The sequence below is a fragment of the Homo sapiens genome, chromosome 1 (genome assembly GCF_000001405.40).
Source record: "Homo sapiens chromosome 1, GRCh38.p14 Primary Assembly".
Classification (NCBI taxonomy): domain Eukaryota; kingdom Metazoa; phylum Chordata; class Mammalia; order Primates; family Hominidae; genus Homo; species Homo sapiens.
The window spans coordinates 208,257,263-208,277,181 of record NC_000001.11 but is presented as its reverse complement, the minus strand read 5'-3'; the positions used below and the strand labels follow the sequence as shown (position 1 = coordinate 208,277,181).

Below are 19,919 nucleotides of genomic sequence, written 5' to 3'. Positions count from 1 at the left end.
CTACATGGCTCACAGAGGCCCTTCTAGGGGAACATGGACCCTACGAGGAAGTGAAGCCCCTGAATGCATCTTCATTCCCTGTTATCAATAATACCTGAACACATTTAAATCAATAGCAATAAGCTCTCAGTTCCATCAGGGAACAAGTCTAATAAAGAGCATGACACACAATTATGCCTTGCTTTCTTCTGAATGTCAGCACTAACCTTGAATTTGTACATCAATATGACAAGAGCAAAACATGTAAAAACCAGAAGCCACAATGATGACAAACTGTCCCCAAATTGCACACGTGTTTTACAGAAAATTTCTCCTGGTCTAAGTCTTTCTGACAATAAAAATCAAATGATACTTTACTTTTCAACAGCCATTCAATCTCCAAGCTAAGCAACCATTTTTTAAACTGTCAACAGCCATACTGCCAACTTTAGAGCATGGAAACTCTGAGCTCTCCAGCCTAGTCGGGGCTGATGTGTATGTGTGCTGCTGAGCTCTCCACTGGCCCATTACAACTGTGAAATTTCAGCGTCCACATTAATCACAAACCCCTCCCACTTGTCCCCACCATTCCCCACTGTGTAGGACCTACCTGTTTTTAACTTCCTAGCTTTCTTCTTTGCTCTCCCTTCCCACAATATAAAAATAATACCTAACATGTGCATATCACTTTATAGATTCCAGAGTACATTTACATCCATAACCTAATTTTGCCCCCGTATCAACACAGTACATAGGGTATTATTGTCCACAGTTTCTGAAAGTGGAGACTGAAGTTCTGAAAATATAAGAGACTTATGCAAGGCTATACAACTGGTATGCAGTAAGTTGGGTTCAAACCCAGGCCCTCGGATTCCACATCTAGGGCTCGGCCTGCTCACCCCTGCTGCCTGACTCAGCCACTCAGTCCCCAGCACTTTTCAGCTCTCCAGTTGACATTTCTGTGGAGAAACTATTTTTGTGCTGCCAACATGCTTTTCCTCATCTTAACTCCATATCAATACCATTCCATTTGTGGATGTGCCACACATTTATCTGGGGTTCAGGCACCAAGTATACATTCTCTGCACAGTCTCTCCTTCCTCCTTTGTGCTATTGATTCGCACTTTGACTATTGTACTTAATAAATTGTTTCACAGTTACTTGCTTATGCATCTCTGTCCTCCTGAAGGTTCCTCCAGAACGAGGACCATGTCTTACTCAGCTCTGTTACTCCAGATTTTAGCACAGTGCTTGATATGGAAGTTTGCAATAAATATATGTGATTTTCAAGATGTTGAATGAATGACAGTTGTGCCCAAGGGAAGAGGGAACGTCCCACAGAGACCAGATCCTGGCCCACTTGCACTATCACAGCCACACAGGCTCCCCCAGAGCTCATCAGACAGAAGCATATGGAGTGGTTACTGCTCAAGGGAGGCACCTCACTTCTGAATCTAAAGTCCTGAGGACGCCACAGTACTGCTACTCCAAGAGCCTTTGGGGAAACTCCACACAGAGAAGAGGGTGGTTGATAGGGTTGATAGGGATTGCGGCACAGGAATGGAGGGAAGAAGGACTGTCGAGAGGGCCGCGGAGGGAGGAGGGATGGCAGGAGCAGCATCAGCTACATCTCCAGCCATGACCTTACTGTGGTAGATTCCAAGAAGTTGCTATGCTAAGAGTGACTTACACTGAGGCCTCTAGAAGGAGGGTGATAGCAGTGCCAAGGAAAGGCATATATTTCAATGGGGAATTGTTTTCTCTATACACAAAAGCCCAGTTGCAGTTGGTTTTACTTCCATAAAGCCTCACTCCAAATCCATCTTCCAGTTGGGGCCTCTCTCTTACACATACACACAGACACAAGCTCAAACATCTATCACAGTGCTGTGACCTGGGTCTTTCTCAGCCATCTGTACAGATCAGTTAAATTGAAGTCATCTATTAGGGCTTCCTATGCATCCAGCAATGCTCTGGGGATGCAAACGTGAATGAACATGACTTCTGCCTGCATAGAGCTCTGTCAAGTGGATCCCATAAATCCATATAGAAGTTAGGGAGGGGCTGGGCATGGTGGCTCATGCCTGTAATCCCAGCATTTTGGGAGGCCGAGGCAGGCAGAGATCACTTGAGGTCAGGAGTCCAAGACAAGCCTGGCCAACATGTTGAAACCCTGTCTCTCCCGAAAATACAAAAAATAGCTGGGTGTGATGGTGGGTGCCTGTAATCCCAGTGACATGAGAGGCTGAAGTAGGGGGATCACTTGAGCACAAGAGGTAGAGGTTGCAGTGAGCCGAGGTTACCCCACTGCACTCCAGCCTGGGTGACAGAGCGAGGCTCTGTCTCAAAAAAAAAAAAGTTAGGGAGGCAGTAAAAAGTCCTAATATAAAGATGCTTTGGGATTAAGGGAAGGGAGAGATTAATTCCACCTGGAGGGGATCAGCACCCCTGGTGGAAGTATATGTGAGTTAGGCCGGGGCTGGAAGGATGGCATGAGGGCCACCATGGGGCACTTACCTAGGTCTCTAGGTCATTGGCACAATCCTCTACTCCAGGGAAGAACTTGGACAAGACTAGTATGCTTTCTCAAGAGCAGCAAAAGCCAATCAGAAAGCCAAAAGCAGAGTATAGGGGTTCAGGTTCCTGTCTGTTTGGGAACTGAGGGAGATCCTGGTCCACTAAAGCATTCCATGAAATGATGCCAACTCACTCAGTAATTGTGACAACTCAAGATATGAAATGAAAACATGTACATCAAATGCCTCAAACAGTGCCTGGATGAAATGATGTGGTAGCACCTTTTTTTTTTTTTTTTAACCAACATCATTTTATACTCCTTAATATTTACTTTCAAATTTGATTCCCAGTGCCAGTCCCTGCTCCCAGTCTTGGTATCAAATCTAAATACAGGGACTTTAATAAGAAGTTGTATCAAGGTGGGAGCAGCATTTTATAGAAATAGGGGGACTCTCAGGACAAGTCAGGAATGGGAAATACTTCCACATGGCTTAAACAGAGAGCAAAAAAGTGAGGATAACGGGAAGCAACATTGCCAAAGGATTTGGGGATCCGAGTGTGTTTGCTATGAACACTAAGGCAAGAAATTTCACCTAGACATGCCTACAGCATTGCCACTGAGGCTGCTAAAGAGTCGTTTGATCTGCTCAGGTCTCTGTTGGCTTTCTTGGGACCTGGGTTCTCATCTAATTCTATCCTAAAAGGTAGTGAAAGCCTTTGCCACCTCCGTGGTCTACACTCTATCGGAAAGCCTAGAACTCGGTGTTTGTGCAGATATTTCTAAGGGCCTTCAATGCCAAATACTAGAGTAGACACTGAATACTGGCAGGTGAGCCACAGATATGCATTGCTGCGGTTGCATCAGCCCCCAGTGAGAGGACCAACAGGCCAGTCTGTGCAGAGCCTTCTGGCTAATAACACTCAGGTCCCTAGATGGCTCCAGTCCAGCAAGTACGGTATATCTCCTCTCATTGGTAATGCGTACTCTCCTACTTCCCTGAAAGCCCCCCAAGGAGGGTGTGTTGCTTCCTCAGGAATGTGTAGTCCTTTTCATTATGAACATATGGTATTGACCAAACCACAGGGATGGGTTTCCACTAAGCCACACAGGCTCCCTTATCCAACCCAAATGGTAACATGTGTTAACTTGTTGGGAGCCACTGGTAACCCATCTTTGGCACTTAAGGGCATTCTGGTGAAAGCAAGTAAAAATTAATCATTAGAGACAAGAATCAGTAGTGGTGTAGCCAATCTACTCTTTAAAGAGGAAGGAAATATAGAATATATTACTAGTTAGTTACATTCAAATTCTCCTCCAGCCCGAAATCTCTGGGTTACTAGGCTTGGGTGAAGCTGGGGCAGAAACTGGAAGTCAGTAGAAATAAGGTTTTGTTCTTCTTGGTTCTGGGTTATTGGGGACTAGAGGGTGTTTCCATGACAAAATAAATAATCTGATAGTTACAGGAAACATATTCTTTAAAATGTAAAAATTATGGTTTGATAAGTACTTTGGGAGATCTAAGAAAAAAGCATTTAAACTTGAGACATGCCTCTGACAAAATCTTTGGCATGTAGTCACCTTCACACAATGCCCCTTCTAAAGGAAAGGACAGTAGCCATAATCCAGGATAGACCAATTAATGCAAATCTCCAACTGCAACTATCACTAACCTATGGTCTACGTGTAAGAAGAATTCATCAGCACTCCTCTGCTGAGCCTCCTGGTGACTGTCAGCCACTAAGCCAGCCACTCTGAGGTCTCAGCATCTGGAGACAAGAAGCAGACTCAGATGTTGATCAAGTTAAAAAGAGAATTACACACTGTCCTCCCAGAAAGCTGACCCTGATGGATTCATTCATCTTTTTTTATACAATTTAGACCAGGATAAAATGACAGCTTTTGTTGCTACCTCAGTACACATATGTACACAACAGTCAATCTCTCTCTCTCTCTCTCTCTCTCTCTCTCTCTCACACACACACACACACATGAGAGAGAGAGAGAGAGAGAGAGAGAGACAGAGACAGAGAGAGAGAGATGTAGAAGCAAGCTCCATTTGGTTGTAGCTCCTAGGAGGGATGCAAAATGCAGCCAAATTTGCATAGTATGCCAGACAAGCCCTCCGGCCCCTGAAACTTCACACCTGTCTCCTGCCAGTACCCAAAGAGCCATCTGCTTTCCCTGAAAAGCCAGACACAAGGCCCCATCTTTATGGCTTTGGTAGAGGATGAGAAAACCTGGCATGGGGAGGCTTAATTGCTCAAAAATAACTCCATGGTACATAACATACAGTTACATGAAGATCCGAAGAAAAAGCCTTGGCAGTATTTTTTTGTAAACATTCAGAATAAAGGTTGGGGCATGCAAAAGGGAAACTATTTAAGGACTCAACCTAGTCCCAAATTATTTCCACTGCCAAGAACTCTACGAGTGAGGAGTTCTGTATGTGACAGAGAGTTCCACAAAAAAAGAAATGTAAGGCATCCAGGCAGGATTTTATGTTTTCATCTACTCCACCCTGAATTTGAGATGCTCTCCTAAAGATATTCCTACCACCTCACATAAATAATTGTATCCATTTGTGCTACTTTTAAAATACAGTTCTATCTCCAGGTATCAGAACAGGGCAAAAGGAAATTCCCTCTCTCAAGCCCATTCAGCAGTGGCCGAGCAGAGCCCAGCAGCATGAAACGAAGATTTGAGAGAAGCCAGATAGTTCTCAGGATGGGTTCAGCACAGGCCTGTCTTGAGGCAGAAGGATAGACTAAAGCAGAGTTTGTCAACAGTGGCACTATTGACATTTGGGCTGGATAATTCTTTGCTGAAAGAGGCTGTCCCACGCACTGTAGGACTGAAAGATACTTTGCAGCATTCTAGCCTCTACCCACAAGATCCCTGTAGGTAGAGATTCCACCCCTCTCCCCCAGTTGTGACAATTAAAAACATCTCCAGACATTGCAAATGCCCCTGATGGGCAAAAATCACCCTGAGAACTACTGTACTAGATGATCTCTTGAAGGCTTATCAAAGGTCATTATTGGGGTATGTGGGTTGCAGAGAGGTTCTGATAGCACAGCATTTATCACAGAGAATTATATTCACTGGTTTATGAGTCTTTATCTCCCATTTGATGCTGGTTTTGAGGACAGGAACAATTTCCATGCAAGCACAGCTGTCTCTCCAGCACAGGGCCTGGTGCCTGGCATGGGGCTGAATGAATGACAGCCTGGATCCAGGGATCCCAGTCTTGTCTCCCAGCCCCATGCTCCTTGTGCCAAGTGCTATGTCTTTGTGTTGGACGTGGGGGAAGAATAGGGGGTATCTTCAGAAAACTAATAAAATAAATGACTAAATAAATGGAACCTCTTGTCTAAAGAACACAGCGATAAGATAAATCATTCTGAGTCCTGGAAAAATTATCTCTACCATCCTGCCCCCCGTTTCTCCATTCAGCCAGAAAACACTTTAATTTATCTTGTGAAATTTTTCATCCACCAGACAAACATTAAGCATTTCTTTCTTCTTCTCCTCCTCCTTCTTTTTAATATTCCTCTCTCCACAAAGGTGGGTTGGCTCTCAACTCATTGGAATAAAAGCTCCATTAGCCTCAGTGCACGTAAGGCTTGTGGGGTTGGCGGGGATTCAGGACCCACAGAAGGATAAAGAAACCTGATACTCATTCTTCAAGTAATTAGAGTTGGTAAAATAAACTGTGTGCATTTAATTAAGGGAATGGATCCATCAGGCTCAGGACAGGGCAGGAATCCCATGCTCACAGCACCAGCCTTTTGTCTCAAATTAACCCCTGGCTGATAAAAAAGGTTCCCATGGAGTCACTGGGAGAACATTCCTGTATCCCATCTTCATTCCTTTCTTGCTGTCAGTCTCTGAATCCACATAGTTTTTCTCAGCTGTCTGAAGCCCTGCAGACACTACAGTTCTCTTCCTACACATGACATATGTTCTCCAACTCCCCCCACAAGTCCCTACATGGAATGCTCCCTCCCTCAGCAACTTGCTGTAATTTGCAAACATATATCCAGGAACCTACTCTCAGCCGAAAGGACATGACTTTTCCATGCTTGCCAGTAGCCAGGATGGCGTTGCACTGAGACAGCCACGCTTTTGATCAGCCTTGTGACAATTAGCAACATAGATTAGATGATTGATTGGACATCAACAGAATAATCTGTGATTATGAAATAAATTCTCTTTGGAAAGTAAGAAAGTCTTTCCTAAATTCAAATGATCATTCTTATTTTAGCTCCTTCTTTTAAAAGTCTGAGACAACTGAACGAAACTCAGCTTTCAAAAAGCCAAGGACGTCTTTGAAATTTCATTCTACATTCCTGGATTACTGATGCTGCCTCTCTATCAGAGCTCTTTATCCTTCCTTCCCTTTTTGCAGACTTCAAATCAGCCTCAGTTTTCTTCAATTATCCTTTTGCCTCTCCTTGCCTAGAAGAAACTCCGAAAATTTTTTGCATATTTGATGGATAAGATGGAAAGGACGGTAGGTGAGGAAATACAGCAGCTAAGATGACAAGCCAGCTCTCCACTGACCACACAGGCACATCTCTAGCAAGGGACAGGAAGACAGAAGAATGAATGCAACAGGACCGCTAAGAAGTAAAGACAGTCTTCAGCTATGCAAGAATAGCAGCTAGAAATAGACAAACTGAAGAAGAGTTTATGGAAGGAGGAGCTGTTTTGTCCAGAGAGCAGCCTGGTAGTTTTCCGTTTTCAAATGCTTGGCTTTCAGGGCTCTGATGTTTCCCTGCACAGTTGTGTCCAATCATGACAGAGACAAGGGAAACAGCCAAGGCTACAATATCAGGTAATGAGGGGACTTTCCTGACGGTGAGGGCTGTGAAACATGGCTTTCACCACTTCTGGGGGTCTTCAGGATTAGGAGAGGCAGTCCTCTATCCAGGGAAAACAATACAGAGCTATCCTGGATGAATTCTGAGTAGCATTTCTAACTCTAGAAAACTCTGCACATCTAGGAGCATATACCAGGGCAGAATTTAGCACCGGAGTAGGGCTGGGATGTGGACAGAGTAGTGCTAGCAGGAAACTGCTCAGCTCCTCAACCCAGCCTGGTTCTCCTCTGGCTTCAGATGAGTGGCTGGTATATTTCCCCATAGTCCTGGCAGATATATTTCGTGGTGTTTTATTTCTCATTGTCTCACTGACGGTTGTGTGTGTGTGTGTGTGTGTGTGTGCGGGCGCACATGTGTGTTTCCTTGGCCATTTGCTCTACAGGAAGGTTTCCAGAGATATTTCCGTGAGCACAGATGCTTCAGTGGTGACAGGGAGCAGGCAGAGACAGCTTTGGAGGATTGGGAGGAGGTCTGTTCATGCCTGTGCCTTCTCTCCTCCATGAATTCAGCTATTTGGCATCCATGACGTCTCTCACTTTCAGCTCACCGGAGAATCTGAGGGCAGCTCCTGTTCCCTGCTGTCCTTTGCACACTTCCCTCCCTTCTCCCTCCTCACCCCCTTCTATTCCCTGATCTCCGTCCCCACTCTGGTTTCTTCAATTTCAATGAGTTTATTGGCATGATGAATGTTGCCAAAGCCAATAACACTGAGTCTCAGTGTCTGGGGATGGATTTCACAGCGGGAAGGGGGCGATGGGGGCCTCGGACCGCATTCCCACTGTGGGTTTCTGCCTCAGTCTGAGGTGGTGGCAGGCTGCCAGAGACCTTGTTCACTTGGGTTTCCAGTCTCAGCTGAACCCACCAGCCTTGTCTCCAGACAGGGAGAATATTCTTACGATGGCAGAGGTCATGTCTGGAGCCTCAGGTTTAGGAGAGAGGGGCTTTAAGCTTATGTTTTCAAGGAACAGTCTATAAATAAATTCCACACTGTCCTGTACCAACTATGTTGTTAAAACTCCAGCCTCCTGCCAACACTGCACATTCCCAGACCAGGTCCAGCGTGAAAAGACAGGTGGCTCTCAGCCCAGGAGTACAGATTCAAAAGGGTCCTTGAGGGGCCTTCTAAACAAGTGAGAGTCTTACCTTCTTCCATTTTTTCCATACAAACACACACACACACACACACACAATACAAGAACAATTTAGAGAATCTGAGATAGGCAAGAAAAAATGGGTTTTATTACAGCTAGAGCCTCAAACATCCATTTCAAATGAGATCTAGCTAAGGAAGTCCTCTTTCTAATGAATGAATTTTCTCAAGCTCCCATTTTCCCTCTCTCTCTCCCTCTTTCTCCCTCCCTCCCACCTCCTCATTTTCTCAGACCACACACACACACACACACACACACACACACACACACCCCTTGTCAGCACAGCAGACTTTTCCCTCCAGGGTGCCTCAGCTGATGGAAATTTCTATCTGCAATGAAAATCAACTTCGGAAAACGTCACAGCAAGGGACTTTTTTTCCTGGCTGCCCCAAGATTGATCTGGTCCATAGGATGCCCCAGATCATTGCATTCGGTAATTTCATTCTGCTTATGATCTATTTCTTATACGATCAATATGATAAATGCGCTGGAGAGCAAAGTGGGTTACGGCCCGACGCCGGTGAAGTGAGGAGGAGAAAGGAGCACTGGGCTGCCGCGCTGTGTGTTTCATGAAGCAGAAAAGCAATTCAGTCAGACTAAAGGCTACAGACAAGGAGGCATATTCTCCTGATAAATGCAAATGATGTGACTACATTTCCCCCAGCACAAATGGGATGGGGAGGGGCAAGAGGAGACCAGTCCCGCTGTCTGTATCACAGCATTCTCCTAGGAACCCATAGCACATCTGCACACAGCACATTGGAGGTTTGAGAGCAGGATGCGGGAGGAAAGAACGGGAGTTTGCTTAAATAATCAGGACTAATGGCAAGCTCCCTCTTCCTGACTCCACTGTGACTCTGAACATTGCTGTTTTTAAAGCACAGTACAAGAGAATCAGGCATCCAGTGAGCGGAGAACCACAGGGAAATATCGGACCGTGCGCTAATCCATGAGCACCCCATCATCTTCTCTGAGCATCAGAGCTCCCTTGGCTTCAGGTCTTGTTAGGTAACAATCAATTTCACTGTCTGCATTGTGATTTTGTGCCAGGGCCTTCTGTTTTCCCACATAAGCCCACATGTCTAGCTATCCTTGGGCCAGCCATGGAATTCTCTGCCTTAAAGCTGCATCATCTGTAAATGGGGGTCAATTACATCGCTGCTGCTGCTGCTGCTGCTGCTGCTGGAAAGTAATCTTATGAGGAAAAAATGCAATAATGTAAATAACTTCTAAAAGTATATAATGTGCTGAAAGTATAAGGTATTAGCTTTGGTAGGCACCATGAAGCTCTAAAAGGAGAAGAAGAGGTCACTGCCCTTAGATAGTTTAGAAATTAATAGAAAACATGGGTCAGATGTTTGAAAAGGAGAAGCAAGACAAATCAACACAGAGGGAAGGGTTCTGGACTCGGAGGGGTCAGCGCTGAGTTGTAACCAGGGATCTACCCCTCCCTCAATGCATGAGTTGTACAAGTTCTTTCCTTACCCTGGGCCTCAGTTTCCCCAAAGGAACATAAGGCAGTTGGGTAATCTATTAAGGCCACCTCTGGCTCTGGCTTTTTGTGAAGCTTAGATAAATTGAGCCCTAATATGGATGCAAATGTTAACCAGTGATCTGAGCTCCAGAAGGAGATGAAATAGAGCAAGATTTTAGAAGAGGGGAAGGAAATATTGGCAGGATATTCTAAATGTAGAAATCAACCTTGCTAAGTCCCCAGTTTGGAGTGAGCAAGTCCCAATCAAGCATGTTCCAAGAGGAACCTAGGGAAACATAGAAAGGCAAAGGGTGAGGAGGCAGGGAAGGTGACTTTTGTTCAGAGCCCTTGTCCAAGTTGAGAGAAGATGGGGAAGAAGGAGTGGATATTGTCATCGGGCTGGGTGAGATCTTCATATCACATTCAGGGGAGACTGACTGCTGCCCCCACATCCTCCCATCTGCATCAAGCAGACCGTAGCTTTCAGGGCCCCTTCTCCATGGTGGGGGTGGTTGGCAAGGTACTCTGTCACTGCACACTGCCGTTGCTCTTGTCCTTCCAGGAAATTAAATTTGAAGTTGCTCAGCTCTGCCAGTGCTTGATCCCTTCCAGACACTTTCCACTCCCGCTGCAGAAAGCTTGAGGATGGCTGGGAAAGGTGGGAGAGGAGGGAATGCCATGGGTGGGACTGTCATGGAGAGATGGATCCCAGCAACTCTGCATTGGTGATTCTTTGCACGGAAGCCTAGTATGTGGACCTCTAGTCTGTGGAGAAGGGCAGACAGAAGGCCCCTTCTATTTTCTCATCGAGATGGCAGAGGCTGTGATGAGACTGTCATTGGGAATATTGATTACATGGCTACTGCTCCAAGGACAGGGCTGGGAACTCTGATACAACTGACAGCCAAGCCATTCATGGCTCAGGTGGAAGTGGTCAGGAGAACAGCTCACCTGGACATTTCCAATTTGCAAAGGGACCAAGGAAATTGTGTTCTGGCTGGGTGCAGTGGCTCCCACCTGTAATCCCAGCACTTTGGGAGGCTGAGGTGGGTGGATCACTTAAGGTCAGTAGTTCGAGACCAGCCTGGCCAGCATGGTGAAATTCTGTCTCTACTAAAAATACAAAAATTAGCCAGGCATCATGGTGCATGCCTGTAATCCCAGCTACTCAGGTGGCTGAGACAGGAGAATTGCTGAACCCAGGAGATGGAGGTTGCAGTGAGCCGAAATCAGCCCTCTGCATTCCAGCCTGGACAACAGAGCGAGACTGTCAAAAAAAAAAAAAAAAGAAAGAAAGAAAGAGAGAGAGAAAGAAAGAAAGACAGAGAAAGAGAGAGGGAGGGAGGGAGGAAGGGAAGGGAAGGGAAGGGAAGGGAAGGGAAGGGAAGGGAAGGGAAGGGAAGGGAAGGGAAGGGAAGGGAAGGGATTGTGTTTTTAGTATGCACTGGGTTTACCAAAGGTGTATCTTATGTTGTATTCAAAATCGCCATTCATTCATTCAGTATATTTTCAGTCACTGGGAAAAGGAATTCCAAAGCACTGATGTACTGCATGTCCTCTCTGCAGCTGAGATGACTGAGGCTTGCCCAGGATCAGACAGATGGTAATTAGGAGAACCATGGGTCTAGACCAGCATGGAAGGTTCACGGCTTTTTGAAGGAGATAGGGGCCTGGGTGGGTGCAGGGCCACATGCAGCTGCTGAGCCAAATGCAGCTGTTTGAAAATTAAGACAAAAAAATAAAAAATTTAAAAATGGGCACTGCTTATTTTAGTCAAAGTTTTCTCATTTCATCTCCACCCAAATTTCTCAGCAAGTGTGAAGTTCAAAACAGACTGCAGAGTAGTGTCAAGGATCAAAGGACAAGGCCTACCCTCTTTGACCTTCATGAAATGAGTTGTCTAGACAGAGCGCATCAGCTTCCTTATTAGTGACTGAAGATCGTCAGCAAAGTGAAAAAAAAAAAAAAAAGTTATTGGCTTGCAATCCAAAAAGAGAAATATCATTCTTCCCCACCCTCTCCTACTGAGTTCATTTTCTATTGACTTTACTTAAGTTTCTCTAGGTTCTTGGCCTTGAAGATGTTTCTGATTTGCTCTCTGCCAGCATCCTGGGATGCTCTTCTTTTGTTAGTAATGAGTTCAATTCACATGAAAAGCCAGAGCCTGCTTCTGAGGCGTTTGGGTAAGTCCCAAGCTGCACTTCTGCCAGTGCCACTGCCTGAGAATTCTTATCAAGCCCCTGGACAATTTAGACTCTGCTCACTCCAGCATATTCTCAGTGCTCCAGAATAAGGCAAACACCAAAAATCAATAGGAATTTTCCAGTGGGAAGATTTCCAAAGTCACCAAAGATCTGAATTACCTTTCCATAATTGGAAAAGTCCACCAAATAGCAGAGAAATGATCTCTTTCTTTTTTCCCCTGGTTGCCAATAGAAACAGTGTCTGCTCCTAATCCAAAGAATATCATGAGACCTATTCCCAATGAGCTCAACCCCAGTAATTGAAAGCAGCCCTGGATTGCCTTTGGTCTTGGGTATTTTCATCATAGGACTGTTAGCGCCAAGACATACACTTTGCCAAGGAAAACTTTCCTTTGAAACCTCTATCTTATCCAAACAGAGAGTTGGAATTGACTCTTGGCAGTTCCATAGATAGTTTTGAGTTATGAAAAATAATACATATGTGTCTGCCAACCTAAGAGATTGTCCCCAATCTGAAAAAAGTAGCCTTGCACATGGACCCATCTTTCCTTCCAATAAACTGATAAAAACCAATGCACCTCTTACAACTTCAGAGCCTGCTATGTTGGCCTTTAAAGCCACCTGCACAATTCCTCTGGATGTGACCTCAAGTTGCTTCTATTCAAAGAGATGTGTGTAGCAAAAGAACAGGAGATGTTAGAATGAAAAGGAAGAGCTGGCATGTAGAGAACTTCAGTTGCATTCTTCAAGGAGAGGCATTCGCGTTTCAGCTCTTGGAAAGATTGCAGTTTGGGGAAGGTTTGGTCCAGCTTGGAAGAGCTGCAGTGTTAGAAAACAAGGCATTTCCAGGCACTGTCTACTTCCTGGGGGAGTGGAGTGGGTCTTTGTAAAGATAATCATGTTTATATTGAGAAGCTGATGAAAACATTTTGCAAATATCCAAACCAAGTATGTGACCTGGAAAATGGAGGTATCCACTCTATGTGCAGCCTTTTGCAGGGCAGAGGCTTGGTAAGGAAGAAGACAGCCTTTCTTGAGGAATGGCAGGCCCTGTGACTCGTCTGCCAATCTGCAGAGCTCAAGGCTCCCTGTGCTGCCTCATCCTGGGTTACTGATATCTCTTCTAGTTGCCTTTATATCTCCTCGAGGTAAAGTTTTGCCACACCACACTCTCAGGACACTCACTTTTGTGGGGGAGAAAACCTACTTAGAATCATAGAATCACATAATTAGACATGACCTTAAAGCCTATTTAGTCAGATCACCCATCTCATGCTAGAATGCCTACAAAACACAGCATACTGCCAATGACAAGACCATCACTACCAAGTGCACCACATGAGAAGCAGGACTGCACAGGGCCAGATGACCCCAAGTAGCAGCCACAAATATCAAAGCAGATAAACCAACTTTGCCAGTTCAGAGGATGAGTGTTGTGGTTAAGATTATGGGCTTAGACTGTATGAAGTTAGACTTCTTGGGTTCAAACTCTAGCTTCACCATTTACTCCTAGATGACCTTAGGCAAGTTACTTGATTTGTCTATGACTTGGTTCTTCATATGTGAAATAGGAGTAATGTTGTAATACCTACTTCATTTGGTATCTATGAGATTAAAATGAGATAATATAAATAAAGCACCTAGAATAGTGCTTGGAATGTCTATCCTACCTAATCAACTGAGATCTTCCTTAATTTTGTTTAAAAAATACTATATATAATTTTAAATATATACAAAAGCAAAAATAACATACTGATTTCTCACATATCAAAATAGTATAATGAATGCCTCACTTAGCTTCAACAATGATTAGTGTGTGGTCATTCTTGCTTTGGCTACACCCCATCCACATTACCCACACTTCTGATTGTTTTGAAGCAAATCATATTTAAACTTTCAGTATTTCAGCAAGTATCTCAAGAAACAGATTCTTTAAAAAATAGTAACCACAATAGCAATATCGCACTCGTCAAACATATAAAAATAATTCTATAATAATAAATATCAATGATTGTTTTATCTCTCTCTCTCTCTCTCTCTCTCATTCTATTTATAAAATTAGGGCATTTGTTGTATAGAGTTTCCGACAGCCTATATTTTCCTGATTGCACATCATTTAATGTGTCCCTCTATCCCCCTGTATTTCCCATAAACTTGTAGTTAGATCTGCCAGCTTGATTGATTCAAGCTCAATAATTTGATAAGGCTACTTCATGGGTCATGGTATTTCTATCAGGAGGGTCATAAGGTCTGGTCATTTCTTTTGTATGTGCATGTATGTGATGTCACACAATATCAATGATCATTGCCTAGATTTATAAATTCATTGTTGGGTTGCCAAACAAAATATAGAATATCCAGTTGCATTTGAATTTCAGATAAACAATGAATGATCATTTAGAATAAGTATGGGGGCCTTCAAAAACTCATGGAAAATGTGTATTATGAAAAAACAACGCAAGGATTTCAAAAACCTTTTGCACCAAAACACTCATTCTAATCTGTTATAACATGTCTGAACAGAATCTAGTTTGATGCACCAAGAAAGATAAGACATCAGTGTGAAAAGAGCTCCTATCAGAGCAACATGAATTCTGCTAAAATTGAGGCAAGAACCATCAAATTTATGGGGAGGCTTGAAAGAATGGTGAAATCATTGCTGTTTTATGAAATCTTTATGGTGACAATGCCCCAAAGAAACCAGTAGCTTACAAATGGATAACTCGTCTTAAGAAGGGATGCGACAATTTTCAATTTGAAACCTACAGCAGCAGACTATCCACATAAATTTTTGAGGATAAAATTAATCTTGTTCATGCCCTAATTGAAGAGGACCAATGATTAACAGCACAAACAATAGTCAACACTATGGATACCTCAATTGGTTCAGCTTACACAATTCTAACCAAAAAATTAAAGTTGAGCAAACTGACCATTGATGGGTGTCAAAATCGTTGCACCCAGATTAGCTGCAAACAAGTGCAGAGTTTTCAATGGAAATTGTAAAGCTCAGTGGATCTTGATCCCCCTCGTTTCTTCAAAGCATTTCTTTGAAGAGTCTTAACTAGAGATAAAACATGGCTTTACCAGCACAATCCTGAAGACAAAGCACACTCGAAACAATGGCTACCAAGAGGGGGAAGTGGTCCAGTCAAAGCAAAGGTGGACTGGTCAAGAGCAAAGTTCATAGCAACAGTTTTTTGAGTTGATCAAGACATTTTGTGTGTTGGCTTTCTGGAGGGCCAAAGAACAATTGCATCTGCTTGTTATGAGAGTGTTTTGAGAAAGTTAGACAAAGCTTTAGCAGAAAAACACACAGGAAAGCTTCACCAGCAAGTCCTTCTCAACCACAATATACCTGCTCCTTCCTCTCATCAAACAAATAAAACAAAGGCAGTTTTGTGAGAGTTTTGATGGAAAACCATTACATATCCACCTTATAGTCCTGATTTGTCTCCTTCTGACTTCCTTTTGTTTCCTAATGTTAAAAAGATCTTTAAATGGCACCCGTTTTCTTTAGTTAATAATGTAAAAAGACTGCATTGACATGGTTAAATTTCCAGGGCCCTCAGTTCTTTAGGGATGGACTAAATGGCTGGTATCATCACCAACAAAAGTGTATTAAACTTGACAAGGCTTATGTTGAGAAATAAAGTTTCTATTTTTTATTTTTATATTTAATTCCATTTTCCATGAACTTTTTAAAGTCCTCTGTTATATCCCGAATATTTCATGAGACATATACTAAGCAATTATGTGTTGTTTATCTGAAATTCATATTTAAGCAAGGGTCCTAATGTTTTTATTTGCTATATCTGGCAACCCTAATTAGGGAGGTTGCAAAATTGTCACATTTTAATTGCTTTATTCCTTATTTGTTTTTTAGTTGAAATATTTTTATAAAGAGCAACTTCCCCTCATCTACTTGATCATCCCAAGATATAGATCATATAAGAGAATCAAAATAAATGCTTGATTTTTTCTCGTTTTACTTAGTTTTTAAAATAATGAAAGTTTTTTCAATGACTAATACAAGTATCATTATAAACTCAAAAAGTAAACATATTTGTTGTGAATTTCAATCCTTTGCAGTTATTATCCTTTCTTATTCTCAAAGTATTTCATGTTTGATCAGTAAGAATCTATTCAAGTACATTCCTGAGTTCTTTTGACATGACAGTAGTGTTTGATACTTACTCTGTTTTCTGGTATAACAAGACTTTCCAGACTTGTATATTTCCTTCCATGAATCTGGACTCAGACATTTCTTCAAGAAACTCTGGTTCCTTTTAAGAGAAAATGGTATTTAGAAAACATAGTCTGAGAGCTAGAGGTGTTCAGTAATACTAGGTTGTTCATTATTTTTGTTCTTTTTGGTAGATAGAGCCAGTAAACACATATTTTTTAAAAATAATATAGAGCTCAAGTTCATAATGATACTTCCAGCGCAAATACAGAACCACAGGTTTTTCTTCACTTTGTCAATCTCACATCTGTATCTTTCTCCCATAAGAAAAAAATCCCGGCCAGGTGTGGTGGCTCATGCCTGTAATCCCAGAACTTTCGGAGGCTGAGGCAGGCAGATCACCTGAGGTCGGGAGTTCAAGACGAGCCTGGACAACATGGAGAAACCTTGTCTCTACTAAAAATACAAAATCAGGCGGGCGTGGTGGCACATGACTGTAATCCCAGCTACTTGGGAGGCTGAGGCAGGAGAATTGCTTGAACCACAGAATTGGTGGTTGCAGTGAGCCAAGATTGTGCCACCGCACTCCAGCCTGGTGACAGAGCAAGGCTCCATCTCGAAAAAAAAAAAAAAGAAAAAGAAAAAGAAAAAAATCCTCATTCTCTATGACAATCATATGATTACTCATATATAACACATACACATAAAACAATATACATACCTAACATACTTCACAGACACTATCACTTCACTACCACCAACAATATGATTACTAAGAATAGCTTAAGATTTTTTGTTTTTGTTTTTGTTTTTGTTGTTGTTGTTGCTCTTAGGGTATACCCCACTAAGGACATAAAAAAATACTTATTTTTTTACAGTACTTGAAATACTTCCCTGGTATGATTAAGCTGTAACTGGAAATACATTTAAGTACTTTCCTTTTGCTTTCATTTTACTTTATAAAATTTTAGGAATTGCTTTTTTGTCTTTTGTTACAAAATTATGTAAAAATATTTGCATAGCTTCAAAAGCAAATCCATAAAACCATGGCATATTTAAAGTCTAATCTCTATCCTGGTCTCTATTCCTTCTCTCTTTCTGTGGGTAAATTTGTTATTTTTATGATTTATCTTTCAATACTGTATTCTTCCACACATTACTCTAAGCAAATTCAGAGATATATTTGTATCCTTCTGACTCTTCGAGGCTCAGTTCCAGTGTTGCTCCTCTGAGGCATCACCACCATGAATGGAGTACTCATCAAACTGATTACAGCCAGAGGTGTACCCTGCCTGACAATATACTGGAATGGACACACTAATTGTTCATAGTTACCCTCCATTCTGATTGTTCACTCCTCTGTTGTAGTTATTGGTGCCTGAGTCTTACCCGATTACAATTCATTGCATTCATGCCTGCCTCCTTTGGTAGCAAAAATTACTAGGATTTCCTAGAAAGCCGAAACCAGACCAACCCTTACACAGCTTTACATTCCACGCAGCCACAGCCTCAATGAAAATTTGCTAAATTAAATGCATAAATCAGTGTCTCTCAGCCCTGGATAAGCATCCAAATTACCTTTACAGCTTTTTCAGATTTGTTAAAAATACAGGTTGCCAAATTATACCCAAAACTCAGTAAATCTTCAAAAGTGATCAACAAGAATCCGAATTAAATGATAAAGCATGCTTCTATTATGCAGCCAGTTTGAGCACCATTGATCAAAATCATAGCCACTCAGTATAAATGTACTGATAGAGCACAGGCGCTTTCAGTGGATGTTTCTAAATAGATTCTCCCCTCTGCTGCTTGAGATGGTGCAATGCTGCTAGCACAGTCCAAAGGAAAATTTAGCTTATCATTTTATTTATCCTGATGGTTTTCTTCAGAGAAAACTTAAGAACTGTGGAGGGTGTGGTTTCTGCTTTTGAAAGAGAATTGGTCGCATATAAAGGTTAACTACATTTTCAAGGTCAAACAGTTGGTCAATACTTGGGATGAACCCAGCTTTGTGACCCTCTGGTCTGGAGTGCTGTCCACCATTAGAAAAGCAGCTGCTTCCCTTTCCCAATCCTAAGATCACCCTGGAGCAGAGATGACACCAATCTTCCGATCTCTCTAAGGGCACTTTCTCCACCCACAGGCAGGACTTTAGAGCCAGAAGGAAACTTGGGGATTTTCCTGAATCCCTAAGGTGAGAAAAGTGTGGCCTGACTCAGAAAGACAGTTAAAGGCAGCAGTTAAAGGACTAGACTCAAAGTCACCTGCCTCCCTGACCAATCAGGCTTTTCACTTCCTGTGCTGCAGCAGTGACAGTCTCACCTATTCTCATGTCATCAGAGCTGATAGTCAGTGCACTGAAGCCTTGTGGTAAGAATGAAGCCAAGTTAGAGTTGCTGGCATCTAATCGCAGCCAAACAGCCTAATATCACATCTCTGCAGCTATGTAGAAGGCAAGAATCAGACTCAACTCCGCTTGCCTAAGCTTTAGTGGCAATGGCCATCCCCAGACCTGGGTCCAGGACATTACACCCAGTGCAAGTTGAAAAGAGAGCAGGGAGTGGGCTAAGAAAAGATTATCTCCTCCTACAACAACAACTTTAAATGAGCTCTCTCATTTGATTTTTCTTGATCATCCATCTAGCAGTGAAAGGAGGCAGTGGGTGGATGGGAAGGCTGGGGGCAGGGGGTCCCCAGGAGTAGCAGCACTGTTGGCTTCCTCCAAGTCTGCCTTTTCACTCTTTTCACTTTTATCCCCAGGACTCGATAGGCTAGAGATCCTTTAATTGGTGTCCTGGTGGAAAGAGATGGCAGTTGGGTTCTATAGAAATAAGGCTTAAGTTTTTCTTCCATTGTGCAGGTCCACATAATCCTCACCATTCCCTGTGCCCCTGCCCACAGTTTGAACCAAAGGCAAAAACTGGAGGTGGTCCTCCTGGTACATCTGGCTGTTTTGGAAAGCTCCAGGGAGGGAGTCATCATGGTAATCAAATGCATCCATTAAACCCAACAGACCCTTTTAATCATAGGCACTGTGCACGCGTGTGCACGCACACACACATGTGCACGCACACACACACACACACACACAATTGCCTGTCTCAGTGCACTCTCTGCGGCTCACTCTGGTCTCCCTGGCTTCCACAGTGTGAAGCAGGGCAAAAAACTATTCAGGTCAGAAGGCCAAGGTTATGAGGGAGGAAGGAAACCCAAGGGGGTGGGCAAACATGCTTGAATGTGTGCCAAAGAAGGGGACTGAAAGGCTTTGAAGGCAAAGAGTCCTATAGGGATGCTAATCATAAGTATTTTATTGTGATAATGCTGGGTCTCTTTCTCTCACTGGGATGCACACAAAACTGCAATGGGGAACGGGAGCCTCCCAGCTGCTCACTGTATTGCCATCAGAAAAGAGGTCAGTGGTAGAAAAAAGCCTTTTGCCCAAGGCTTTCGGAGAAATCATTGCTTTCACTGGATGAAGGTTCATAAGAAAAACTTAGTCTAGAATTTAAGAATCTTCTTGCTAA

The 19,919-nt window shown here is 43.0% G+C and overlaps 2 long non-coding RNA genes across 3 annotated transcripts in view, besides 1 other annotated feature; one reads left to right on the top strand and one right to left on the bottom strand.

The window, feature by feature from the left end:
- LOC105372889 (uncharacterized) overlaps nucleotides 1-19,919 on the bottom strand; it is an 82,866-nt gene that overhangs the window by 58,426 nt on the left and 4,521 nt on the right. For both annotated transcript variants that reach the window (XR_922508.2, XR_922509.2), the window contains exon 4: nucleotides 16,407-16,495. This is a non-coding gene — a long non-coding RNA (uncharacterized LOC105372889). The remainder of the gene's footprint in view (nucleotides 1-16,406; nucleotides 16,496-19,919) is intronic.
- Nucleotides 6,010-6,591: an enhancer, noted in NCBI's record as "NANOG hESC enhancer chr1:208443936-208444517 (GRCh37/hg19 assembly coordinates)". NCBI's record gives its function as "activates a minimal SCP1, AML or CMV promoter by ChIP-STARR-seq in primed H9 embryonic stem cells {active_cell/tissue: H9 hESC(primed)}" and the evidence as "EXISTENCE:reporter gene assay evidence [ECO:0000049][PMID:30033119]".
- On the top strand, nucleotides 6,533-11,763 carry LOC124904501 (uncharacterized). The gene is made up of 2 exons (XR_007066852.1): nucleotides 6,533-7,334; nucleotides 9,411-11,763. It is a non-coding gene; the product is annotated as an uncharacterized LOC124904501 (long non-coding RNA).